The following is a 12,758-nucleotide window of genomic DNA, read 5'->3' as shown; positions in this document are numbered from 1 at the left end:
ACATATTGTCTATGGCGACTTGGCAATCCAATGACAGAACTGAATAATTGCAACAAAGACTAGACCACAAAGCTAAAGCTGTATCTGGCCGGGCATGGTGGCTCATGCCTATAATCCCAGCATGTTGGGAGGCCGAGGCAGGTGGATCACCTGAGGTCAGGAGTTCAAGACCAGCCTGGCCAACATGGTGAAACCCTGTCTCTACAGAAAATACAAAAATTAGCCAGGCATGGTGGTGCACGCCTGCAGTCCCAGCTACTCGGGAAGCTGAGGCAGGAGAATCACTTGAACCTGGTAGATGGAGGTTGCAGTGAGCTGAGATCATGCCACTGCACTCCAGCCTGGGCAACAGAGACTCCATCTCAAAAACAAACAAACAAACAAACAAAACTATATCTGATCCTTTAAAGAATGCATGCAAAGTGCGCTAGACCCCCAATTTGTCATTTCTCCCTTCATGTATGGGAGTGAACAAGGATAGATGTATGACCTTTGTTCTTATAGCCAAATCTCTGCAGAGATGTCCCTGATAACTTCCCAGTCAAGGCAGAAACTTCTGATTTTTTTTTTTTAATCATTTAGTCTTCCTGTGGCAGAAATTGTGGGCCAATGATAAAACCATTTACAACTTCCTTTGCTTTATCTGGGGTACAAAGTGACAACTTTCTCGCTAAGTTATTAATGAAGACATATATATATATATATTTGAGGGGCAAAGAGATTAAAAATAAAAGGGGCACTATCCAAGAGATTAGTAGATATTTTTTATTTTCCTTGCAAACAAACAAGAAGTAGTCTCTTAGAGGAAGGGAGACACAGAACCTTAACCTGATATGTGTGAGAACAGCAGTACTCTCTTATTTTTCATGACTGGTCCTACAGACTTCGCACCCATTTGAGCCATCATAACAAGTGTGTAGTGGGGCTTCTAGAATTTATGGCTCTGGAGCCCAATAGAGTGCAGGGCTGGATATATTGACTTGGAAGTAGTTGAAACATAGGAGATTCTTGAATCATTTCTTTCTCTATCTGATCCTTAAAGGTACTGTGGTTGTTTCTGCCCTTCGCTCTCTTCTCCTACTGCATCCCATTTCTTGGTGACCAAATCCACTCTTACATTCTCAATTGTTCCTGCTGGCAGAGATTCCCTGAAGCCATATTGCAACCTTGAACTTGCTTCCCTAGTTCAGCCATAGACGCCCACTTTATTTATCTATTGCTAGGACATTTGTTTCCTTTTTGCTATTTTCTTTATAATGAACTCTCTCAACAAAAATCTCAATCTCCGTCCTTCATGCAAAGAGGTTGGCACCATCAAAATTGTCCTACTTTTAATATGTTATTTATATTTTGATAGGGAAGGACTTTTTAAATCACTTTTCTATACCCATTTTACTTCCCTATTATCTTGGGACTCTGTTAATTCTATTTACTTAAATTAAGCTGTTGTGAATAGACTCTACTCACAATTTTTTTTTAGAAAGCACCTGTTTCCTCTGCTTTCTACATCAATCCACATTTCTTCAAAAGATGAGGGATGAGGATGACCTAGTCAAAGCCTTGCTTCCTCCCATATTGGAAGAGTCCCTGTGTGAACTTATGAGCCTTATTACTTGTAATGGAAGCTACTTTATTGTGCTATTGACACGGAAAGGGAGACTCTTTCTTGACTTTGAGTCCTGGGGAGTGGAAAACTTTCATCATCAAATGAGTTGTTAAAACCTAGAGGATTACACCTGTAGCCTGACAAACTCATATTTATTGCCTTGCATAGAGAGATGTCACTCCTAGGCAAGAGGGAGGAAGGAGGCATCTTTTGTAAATTGAACTTCCATTGAAGAATTTTGAGGAGCATCTAAGGGAAGCAGGTATCCATTTTGGATTGGTTGTTTTGAGGTGGGATTAGGAAAAGAGAGATTTAGCCAGGATTGGATGCTGTCATGAGGGGATGATGGCTGAGCAATTGGGTATCTCTAGTAATAAATGAAAATAGCCAGCAGTCAGGGGCATCATTGGTGAGAAGTCAGCAATCACCTAAAGAGGGGATCATTATGGCACTTTATAACTGCTGCATGACCTTGGCAGAAAGTGTTTCCTGCTAATTTTGCAGCTGGCTTTATCTGTGTCTGTCCTCCTTGTCTGATTAGTGGCAGGGCTTCTTTTCTCTTTTCAGTCCAAATTGATTCTCACTCTTTTAATCCAAAAGAGATTTTAACTCTTTCAGCATCCTAGACTCAACTCATCAGAACATTCACTAGGATGCGTTTTCCTACTAGCACTTAACCAAGTGTAAGAATCTCAGGTTCATCATGATTTAATTGAATAGAAACTTCTAGAGCCACCATCAAACAATCCAAAGTTGAGGTAAAGCAATGTGGCCTAACAGGTTCCAATGTAGTATACTTAGAACCTTTCCAGATGCCCCACTACTCTGCCTTTTGATAATACCACTGCCCTCACTAATAGTCTTTTCCAGCTTGGAGCAGGTCATCACCTTTTGCCAAAAGCCTAAGGACTCTTCATTGGGAATAGCATTGTTTCTGAGGCTCACCATGCTTGGAATCTGTTCCACATTTCCAGCCCTCTCTCTTTCCATGTATCCTACCTTTGAGCCACACCAGAGGGATTCTTGCACTTTCATTTCTCTATGTTTTTGCTTACACTTTCCTCTGTCCTGAAATTTCTTTCCCTCCTTTCCCCCAATCAAAATCCTATTCTCACTTGCCTGATACAGGAACCATTCTCCAAGAAGCCACCCTTGAACTATCCCATGGAAATTACTAGTTTCTTCATTAGCACTTCCATAAAACTTTCCTTGTAACTCTGTTTAGCACTGCTATTGTTTTTTTCTCCTAAGCACACAGTCGTTTTTGTTTGTTTGTTTTGCAGTTTTCCTTGATATTTGGGGAAAAATGTTTATTTTACCTACTCTCTACATTCTAGGGATATTTCTTAGCCTGAAGTTCCTGGCTTCGCTGTGATCCTTTGGAGGCATAGGAAGGTGGGGCAACTTGTGAAACTTCATATATATAAATTTCATATATATAAATATATATGTTCCTGTATGTGTGTGTGTATATATGTGTGTGTGTGTGTGTGTGTGTGTGTATTTGTGTATATGTGTACTTTGCTGGGGTCCACAACTTTCATCAGATACTCAAAGAGATGTGTAACCCAAAAGAGAAGAGGTTAAGAACAACTTTTAGAATATTAGATTGTTATGGCACAGGCACTCTGCCACTCAAACAGATGGGAGAGACAACTATAGGCAACCAAGAAATCATGAATGTGCATCAAATATGGGTGCTTAAGGCATGGTACCCAGCTGGGCAGGTGGAGAATGCCATCCATCCAAAGCTGCCAAGGGCTATTAGCCAGTACTGATTAAACTCTGGACTGCACTGATTTTTGGAAATTGCACTAAAATCCAGATCCTCCCTAGTCACGGCACAGAAGCACAGGAGTTGGCTGTGTTTACCCTCATAAATGCCCTGAGTGTGCCTTTGTTAGAAGCTTGGTTGGCAGTGGCAGCAATGCTACTTGTCCTTGTCTACTTTTTCTACTTCCAGATAAATATTAGTTTGATTAATAATCACATTTCAGTTTGTCCCAGGCCCCATGAAGTAGATTAGAATTCTGGAGGGAAAAAATATGGTACGATCTATATCGTCTTTCCATAATATACCCAGTAAATAGAAAATCTTTTCAAAAGATTACCTGATGCCACATCTCCCTCACCCCCTTATTGTTACCCAGGTGCCTGAATGTATGGGTTGCAATACAATATAACCAATGATTAGCATGAATGATAGAACCAGATGACTTGACCTTCAGTGTAAGGGATAGGCAGGCCTTTGATTATACTCATGAAATGCCCATGCTAAAAAGGTTCATGTTTTTAAGGATGTTTCTCCTGCCTCTTCTCTCCTATTCCCTTGCTTAAAAATTCTCTGTGGAATTGATTTGGCTGATAAAAGACAGGCTAACTTATTTTAAAAAGGGACTGAAAAATCCATGCACTTCCAATTGTCATGTGCAATCATGGACCTGTCAACTAATTCTTATTTTGGCAGTTTTGAGATCACTTGTCACAAATTATTCCCTCTCACAGGGGTATCTGAAGAGAAAGCAAAATAATATGCAATTCATGTAGCTGGATTCAGGTGGAGGGGATTCTACTTTTAATATGCAATTGGGTAGCTGGATTTGGGTGGGGGGGGGATTTTACATTTAATATGCAATTCTGGTAGCTGGATTCGGGTAGGGAGGAGTCCACATTTAATATGCAATCAGGTAGCTGGATTTGGGTAGAAGGGATTCACATTGAATACGCAATCAGGTAGCTGGATTCCGGTGGGAGGATTCCACATTTCCTCTTCCTTCAAAGTGATTGTTTATATGAAATATCTCCTTCTTTTCAAACAGAGAAAGTTACAAAAATCCTACTACATCAAATGATTTATGAAAAATAAAGGTAATTCTATCAAAAGCAATCGTGACTAGTCTTTCAACCTCGCTATGCATATATCGGGGAGTGTATTTGTTAACCTGAAAGGCAATAAAATCTGCTTATGGGTAAATCAATTCCTACCACTGGGTTCTTTTGGGAATATCTAGTAATCTAGGTCAGTAATTCTAAAACTTGAGTGTGTATTAGGATCACCTAAAAGGCTTGTTACATCACGGATTGCTGGGCTACACCTAAACAGTTTCTACTACAGTAGATCTGGGATGGGGCAAAAGAATATGGATTTCTCACAAGTTGACAGGTGATACCGATGCTGCTGGTCTAGGGATCCCACTTTGATAACCACTGACCAAAGTTTTTAAGGTCACAAGGTGTTTATAATTAGTTCAGAAACCAGGACACAACATGTTTAAAAATCCTTAGCAATACAAGGTAATATGAGGCCCCAAACAGGCAACAATGTGCACTATATAAGGGCAGTGGTGAGAGAACTCTGGTTTGGCAAGATTTCCACTCTCAAATCTGGATAGGGTTAAGATCATCAGAGAGCAGGGCATTCTAGAATGGGGAAATGAACCAAATTAGTTGGAGCTAAGACTGGAGAGGTAGGTAGGGATGTGTCTGTGGAGGGCTTTTAAGCACATCTTATAAGGAATACAGATTTTATACAACAGGTAATATTTCTTCCACCAACACACTGTCTCCTCCTGTGGCACGTGGGCAGAAAGATCTAGCTCCACATTACTGCAAACGGTTTAACCTTCCCCAAATACTGTTCAGCCGGAGTGAGGTGGGAAAGTTAGTAGATCTCTGGTGTTTGGTGAAGATACCAAGTTAGACTGAGAGGTGGATTACTTGCATCGCTGAGTCCAAAAGTTGTCGGCTTTTGCAGGGATGGGAAAGCAGGAAACTTTTGGAGGTCTCCCAAAATATAAGAAAAGATTGTTTGGGTGTGGATTTAGGTTGAGGACAGGAACAGGAAATATCCTGGGATGTCTGAGGCAACCCAATAGAGGGTCTGAAGTGGACGAGACCATGCACTACAGTGCAATGCTTTTCCATCTTTACGGTGCACCCCAGGAGTCACCTGGTGATCTTGCTGAAGTGCATGTACTGATTCAGCAGGCCTGAAATTGTGCATTTCAAAGATTGTGAGTTCCCAGAGGATGCTGATGCTGCAGACCGCGCTTTGAAGCAAGGTACCATGGGACATCCCAGAACACCTGCGGGGAGAGAGGCCTGCTGGCCACATCCCCCGAAGAAAGGATACATGCAATCTTTTAAGCTAAGGCCCCCATCCTGTCTCTCGGGAGAGGTGAGCAGTGAGGATATGGGGACAATGAGAAGGACGGCTCAAGTAGGGCTGGGGAGGGGCAGAGGCGCCCAGGCGCGCCAGGTGCAAGCGCTCTGGAGAGTGCGGTCTGCCTGGGTCCGCGGCTCTGGGGCTGCGGCGCGATTGCAGGAGTTTCGGCCCTCAGCGGCTCCCATCGCGGCTCCCGGGAGCTAAGCGAGACGGCGACGGCGGCAGTCGTCCCTCCCCACGCGGGCGCGCGGGCATGCGGACACCCACTCGGCCGGTCCAGGCCCTCAGGCTCCCGGAAGCGGAAGGGGAGAGCGGCCCGGCCTGGGCGGCGGCGCCGGAGGAGGCGGAGGTGGCGCGGCAGGAGGAGGGGAAAGAGCTGCTGGCGGTCGGGAGAGCGGCGGCAGCGAGAGGCGAGCCAGCGGCGACGGTGAGTGTGCAGGCGCGGGGGCGAAGCGGCCGCCCCCACCCCCATCCCCATCCGCACCCCCACCCCCATCCCCGGCCCCCGCTCCGCTCTGCCGGGCCCGCCCGCCGCTCCTCCGCGCCGGGACGCCCTCACCTGTTCCTGCACGCCCCCTGCACCTGCTCTGTTTGGAACCCGGGGGTTTCTCGGTGCCTCCCCGCCCCAGGCCTGGCCTTTTTCAGAGCGTCTTCTGCTAGAGCTACAGCCCCTTGCTAAGTGCTCCTCCCTCAACTGGGGGTGGGGGGTTCCTGCTCTAGTCGAGACGATGTTGGCTAGTTATTTATTTATTTATTTTAAATCTGTATCCTGAGTTTCTCGCTTGTAAACTACAGTTTCTCTCCCCGCACCCCCGTCTGGAGACCTGCACTGGGATCCCGGGTTTCTCTGTGCTATTCCAGAGCTTTTCATTCATTCCAGACTTCTGGTGTGAAGCTGCAGAGAGGACAAACAGTTTGCTCCTTTATTGACCTTCTCACTCCTCTCCTCTTGATCCAAAGAGGTTTTCGGAAAATGGCTTATGGATGGCAGCAGTTTGCACTTGTTACTGTTCACTGTAACAGGTCGCTGGATTGTAACTGCAGAGTCCATTTAAGTTACGGTCTTTTTCAAGCTATATGTGGGTCACATTTTAAGATCCCTTGAGAGTCAGGGTGGATGTCTGTATCACCAGGGCTGAGAGGACATGACCAATTATTACTTTAAAATATTGCAATATAGCAGTCTCTAAAAGTAGAAGAGAAAAAAAAATCAAGGTCATTGTGGGCGGGTCATAAATTATATTGTAAAGTTACAGTCCAAAGGCGACTAAGGATAATTAAGTGCAATTTAAAAAGATGTGTTAAATAGGTCCTCAGCCTACTATGCTAATATATGCACTTTTAAAAATTCACTGCTTTCCTTGTGGTAAGAATAATATTAATAACAGTCACCATTTGATGACTGCTTAGTATGCGCCATTCCTGGATTAAAAGGCTTTTGGTGTAATATTAAATTCTTCCAACTCTTTAGATTTTACTTATTTTAAAGGTAAAATTCGGAGAGATGCTCTGTTTTTCCTTAGTTTGTGCCATCTCTTAAAAGCAAAAAGATATTTGAAGAATTGAGGTGAGAAATCCACTGGAAAGAAAGAGCCAAATGAGATTTGGTGTCGTGGAAAGAAAAACTAGATTCTAGTCCCATTTCTGTCACTATCCAGCTGTGGGTTTACAGGTAGGGCAATGACCCATGTTATTTTCTCTATACCATCAGAGAGCCAGACTAAATTATTTAAGGCTTATTTTAGCTTTTCCATGCTTACTTGGAAAATGTTTTTAAATAAGACCCTTTAACGTGGTTTGAAGGTACATTAAAAACATATACGAAGTATTAGTAAAATATGAAAATATAAGTTAAAATGTATAATTCCATAATTGTTTTGGTGTAGTACTCTTCCAGAATTCATCATTTTCGATGGAAACAATTCTATTAGATCCTTTGACACTACTGAGATTTCTGTTAACATACTTGAGAAGCTGTAGTTGGAATAAATGAAATAGAGCGTCATTTAAAGAAAATGATGAGGACCGTGTCACTTTTGCCTACGAGGTACTTTGTTTAATAAGAGAAATCTAAGCATTTAAAAATGCAGACATATAATCAGCTTAACAGGAAGTTCTGAGACAAGAATCAATGAATCATAACATGTACTTCTTATTTGCCTACTGCCTCATTTCTTTAATTCGTAATGACCGATTCAGAACCTGTGGAAAAATGCATGAATAAAATAATGGTTTTATAAAATGTGACCCACATATAGCTTGAAAAAGACCGTAACTCAAATGGTCTCTGCAGTTACAATCCAGGGACCTGTTATAGTGAATAGTAACAAGTGCAAACTGCTGCCATCCATAAGCCATTTTCCCGAAAACCTCTTTGGGTTGAGAGGAGAGGAGTGAGAAGGTCAATAAAGGAGCAGTTTATTGTTTGTCCTCCTGCTAGTCTTATTATATAGTGGTTTAGTAAAGAAACTGCTTGAGAAGTTGAGTAATGTCTCAACATGGAGCTGTTTTTCTGGAATTGTAATTGAATGTGACTCAGTGAAAACTTTTTTAGCATAGGAGGTGACACAGTGGCAGTATCAATACTACCAGGCAAAAGAGGGAAGGCAGAGGAAAGGCTGTTTTTATTGCCAAGAGTTTGTTCCCTAAATTCAGTTTTACTTTTATATTAAGGAATGTAACCTTTTATGTTGTTTTAGTAAAACATTAGGGCTCAGATTCAACTTTTCACATGCATTAAATATAATAGGCAATTTAGCATCTAGTAGAATAATCAGTGCTTAAATAACTCTTATTAAAGGTAAAAATACAGGTGAAATTGTAAAACAGTTTTTATTGTTGAAAGTGATTTGTTAAGAATTCTTGATAAGTCAAGTCAGACTAGTTTAAAAAGCACATTTTCATAGACATGTGAATCATCACTGTGCTCATTGATAGGTCCCTGAACAAAAATACCTTAGTATGATGGTACTTTATGTGTTTGTTTTGCTCTTTAGACCTAACCTAGGCAAAATTGTGACATTTTTGAAGTTTGCCTTCTGCCTTTCAAGCTGCTTTTTCCTCTGTGCTATTTCTCTCAGGGTAGATTAACCTTCTTCCCCATTTCAGAGACTCTCTTAACCGATGTGTTGCCCCTTCTACAAAAGGGCAGGTTGGGTAAAATTGATATTTTACCATTCACTGGTGAATTTTATTTTAAATCTAACCTAAAATGCTCAAGTGTGATGTCAACCAAGCTTCTGATTTTAAGCTTTTTATCTGTAATTACAGAATGAAGAACTTTTTCACTTACTGCAGGATTTTCAGCTTCAGCAAGCAGGTGAGGAGAGATTTTTCTTATGGTGTTAGTGTTCTTAAATCATGGCTGCTTTGGTAAAGCCTGGTGTGAAGGAAATCTAATTTAGTCTTCTACCCCCAACCCCCCACCAATCTCTCTTGGTGTGGTGGGTACTAGAAGGTAAGTAGCAGGCTTCCCTTCCTTCTTGGAAGAACATACTTGATTCATACCCAGGAAAAGCCTGGGCCTCTTCATTTCTGGCTTTTACTGTATCTGAAGGTTTTTTCCTTGTGCTGATTTTGGAACAAAAGTTACCTTTTTAAATCCCTGTCCCTATCCTACATTTAATCTTGCCTTTTCAGTCCCTTTTCCCACTCCTATCTCCCTAATGAAAATTCCCACAGAGACCTTTTGTACTGACTGAAACAATATTTGGTGGTCTTTAATTCGTATCACCCCACACCTCCCAAGCTATTTTTACTTTTTGTTAGAAGATTCTAATGAAGTGAGCTTGAGCCAGGGAGAATGGAGACTGAGGCTGCAGTGGGCTGTGATTGCAGCACTCCAGCCTGGACAACATAGTGAGACCCTGTCTCAGACAAACATACCCAAAAAACAGTGGCCCAGTTATCTACTTTCTCTAAAGTTAAAGCAAGTTAATGCAAGCAGGGAAAAATAAAGGTAAATGCCTGTATTAGCAGTACTAATACTACTAGTAGTAATACTACTAGGATAGTGTTAGCAGTATTAATACTGCAGTGTAGTACTACTAATACAGTCATGTACATTTATTTTTCACTCATGAGACTGGTGCACACAAAAACAAATTTATGAGAAGAGCAACAGCTTATGCTCAATTTTGCCCAGAATGTAATTTAAAGACTTAGTCTACAGAGTGGATTCTTGAAACCATTGATAGTGCAAGTATTTTATGCTTTGACACTTTGTCCACCCACGTTTTTACAAAGTCTTCCTGGAAAACTCAGCAATTGATTCAGAATCCCTGCTTGCATTATACATTCTTTATTAGCTTCTGAGATCAAGTACTGATTTTCTTTCACACTTTATTCCTTTGCTCACCAGTCCTGCTTTTACTTGAATGTGATTTAGTTTAGGGGCTTCAGTTCATTCATTCTATTTTAGATCAAATCTCTATTTTCGGTTTTCTTCTTAAAGATCCCCCTAACCAACGTGTAGAAATACAACTTCAGCTAGTATGATACTAGCCGAAGGGCTGTAATATTTGAAGTTTTTTTGACTAGTTCACAGACTTTAAAAAAGTAGATAACGGGGCATTTTTTGTTGTTCTTGTGTTTGTTTTGTTTTTTGTTTGAGACAGGATCTCACTCTGTTGACCAGGCTGGAGTGCAGTGCAGTCACAGCTCACTGCAGCCTTGGTCTCCATCTCCCTGGCTTAAGCGATCCTCCCACTTCAGCCTCCCAATAAGCTGGGACTACAGGCATGTGCCACCACACCCGGCTGGTTTTCTGTTTGTTCGTTTTTTGTTGTTGTTTTTGAGACAGAGTCTCGCTCTGTCACCCAGGCTGGAGTGCAGTGGGGTGATCTCGGCTCACTGCAACCTCCGCCTCCCGGGTTCAAGCAATTCTCCTGTCTCAGCCTCCCGAGTAGCTTGGATTACAGGTGCCCACCATCATGCCTGGCTAATTTTTGTATTTTTAGTAGAGATGGGGTTTCACGACGTTGGCCAGTTTGGTCTTGAACTCCTGACCTCAGGTGATCCACCCGCCTTTGCCTCCCAAAGTGCTGGGATTACAGGCATGAGCCACTGTGCCTGGCCCCCATTTGTTTGTTTTTTAACTAGTGGCTAGGTCTGGCTGTGTTGCCCAGGCTGCTGTGGATCTCCTTAGCTCAAGCAATCCTACCCCTACTCACCTCCCAACATGGTATGATCACAGGCAAGAGCAGGCCCTGGGGTATTGTTAAACTGTTTCATTACTTTTAATGATGGGGACCTAGAAACGTTGTTTCATTCTGGAGTTTGTAAAACTAGAAGTAAAACTTATCTTTCACTTTCCCTTCCTCTGCTCTCTCCTTCGCTCCCCTGTAAAGTTAGCATTTTGGAGGCGCTGCTTTGCCAGTCAATTTCTCATTTAAGCGTGACAGCAACTGTGTAAGTTGACATTTTTATCTCCATTTTACAGATGGTCAAACTGAAGCTTGAAAAGAAACTAAAGCTTGGAAAGTGAATAAGAGACTATGTCATAATTTCTCTTTTAACATCTGTAGAAGATTAATTTTTTAATCTGTTGATAATCAACTGAATATCTATGTGATATTTAAAAAATTGAATTCCTAATTGGCAATGAGAGCTTGATTTTTATGGAGAATTATTTAACTGCCACACTTGACTAATTTTCAGAGTAGAATGATATCAGAAGTCAAAAAGTTTTATAAATACGTTTACAGCTGTAACTCTGCTTTCTAAATTCATTTGGCTGTAATTAATAAGTTTAAAATTTCATATATTCATCTAATAAGCATTTTCTCTTGGCACTGTGGAAAAAAAATTGGTATGTTTGAAAACTTAGCTTGTAAATTGTTAGATTGTATTCTTTCAGGCGTAGCAATATTAAAAATATTTAATGACATTTTATAGTTTTGAAACTTTGAAATTGTTTTGTTGTTCCAATTTTTTGAATGTTTAGGCCCAACGTTACTTTTGTTTTGTTTTGTTTTGAGACAGGGCCTTACTCTGGCACCCAGACTGGAATGCAGTGGCACGATGATTTCTGCTCACTGCGGCTTCTGCCTCCTGGGTTCAAGCTTCAAGCGATTCTCGTGCCTCAGCCTCCCGAGTAGCTGGGATTACAGGCGGGCGCCACTATGCCTGGCTAATTGTTGTATTTTTGGTAGAGACGGGGTTTTAACATGTTGGCCAGGCCAGCCTCAAACTCCTGACCTCAGATGATCTGCCCACCTTGGCCTCCTAAAGTGCTGGGATTACAGGCATGAGCCACCATGCCCGGCCCAGCATTACTTTTATTACCACATAGATGAGATTTCATTTCTCAGAGGTAGTGGTGTTTATCTAGTACTGAAATACGAATCTCATTTCAGAGGCTGTGTCTGCAGTGTAGCTCTGATAACTATAAATGTAAAGTAGGATTTTTCTTGATTTTAAGCCAGCAAGTGACTGGGATTTGACTCATGGGTGATTGGCCTGTGCTATAACCTACTAACGTTACTGACAGAAACTACTATTTTGCTGAAACATTAGGAAGCCACTCTCAAGTCATAGACTTAGTAGCATTATTGTTTTTGGCCATCTTTCAAAAATGTTTGGTTGTACCACATTTAATTCTGTTTGAATTTTTTTCTGAAATAATTCATTTATTTGCCATTGGGGTAGCAGCTCTTTAACATTGTTTTTTTTTTTGTTTTTTTGAGATGAAGTCTCGCCCTGTCGCCCAGGCTGGAGTGCTGTAGTACAGTCTCTGCTCACTGCAACCTCTGCCTCTTGGGTTGAAACGATTCTCGTGCCTTAACCTCCTAAGTAGTTGTGATTACAGGCACACACCACCACGCCCAGCTTATTTTTGTATTTTTAGTGGAGACAGGGTTTTCCCATGTTTGCCAGGCTCGTCTTGAACTCCTGACCTCAAGTGATCCTCCCACCTCGGCCTCCCAAAGTGCTGGGATTACAGGCATGAGCCACTATACCCAGACTTTAACTTTGTAATTCTGTGTT

The 12,758-nt window shown here is 41.8% G+C and overlaps 1 protein-coding gene across 31 annotated transcripts in view, besides 3 other annotated features; it reads left to right on the top strand.

Annotated features, from left to right (window-relative positions):
* Positions 5,490–5,990: an enhancer, noted in NCBI's record as "H3K27ac hESC enhancer chr9:14693435-14693935 (GRCh37/hg19 assembly coordinates)". NCBI's record gives its function as "activates a minimal SCP1, AML or CMV promoter by ChIP-STARR-seq in primed H9 embryonic stem cells {active_cell/tissue: H9 hESC(primed)}" and the evidence as "EXISTENCE:reporter gene assay evidence [ECO:0000049][PMID:30033119]".
* ZDHHC21 (zDHHC palmitoyltransferase 21) overlaps positions 5,995–12,758 on the top strand; it is a 104,636-nt gene continuing 97,872 nt past the window's right edge. For 18 of the 31 annotated variants that reach the window (XR_001746284.2, XR_001746285.2, NR_148714.2 and 15 more), the window contains exons 1-2: positions 5,995–6,198; positions 9,042–9,090. The gene's annotated coding sequence lies outside the window, so the exon portion shown is untranslated. Of the gene's footprint in view, positions 6,199–9,041; positions 9,091–11,119; positions 11,181–12,758 lie in introns of all 31 variants that reach the window. The other 13 variants (NR_148717.2, NR_148718.2, XR_007061290.1 and 10 more) reach the window with 2 other exon arrangements.
* Positions 6,064–6,133: a silencer, noted in NCBI's record as "silent region_19776". NCBI's record gives its function as "represses an Ori minimal core promoter by ATAC-STARR-seq in GM12878 lymphoblastoid cells {active_cell/tissue: GM12878}" and the evidence as "EXISTENCE:reporter gene assay evidence [ECO:0000049][PMID:35858748]".
* Positions 6,214–6,353: a silencer, noted in NCBI's record as "silent region_19775". NCBI's record gives its function as "represses an Ori minimal core promoter by ATAC-STARR-seq in GM12878 lymphoblastoid cells {active_cell/tissue: GM12878}" and the evidence as "EXISTENCE:reporter gene assay evidence [ECO:0000049][PMID:35858748]".

The sequence above is a fragment of the Homo sapiens genome, chromosome 9, assembly GCF_000001405.40.
Source record: "Homo sapiens chromosome 9, GRCh38.p14 Primary Assembly".
Classification (NCBI taxonomy): Eukaryota; Metazoa; Chordata; class Mammalia; order Primates; family Hominidae; genus Homo; species Homo sapiens.
The sequence above is the reverse complement of the archived record's forward strand: the minus strand, read 5'-3'. Positions and strand labels throughout refer to the sequence as shown.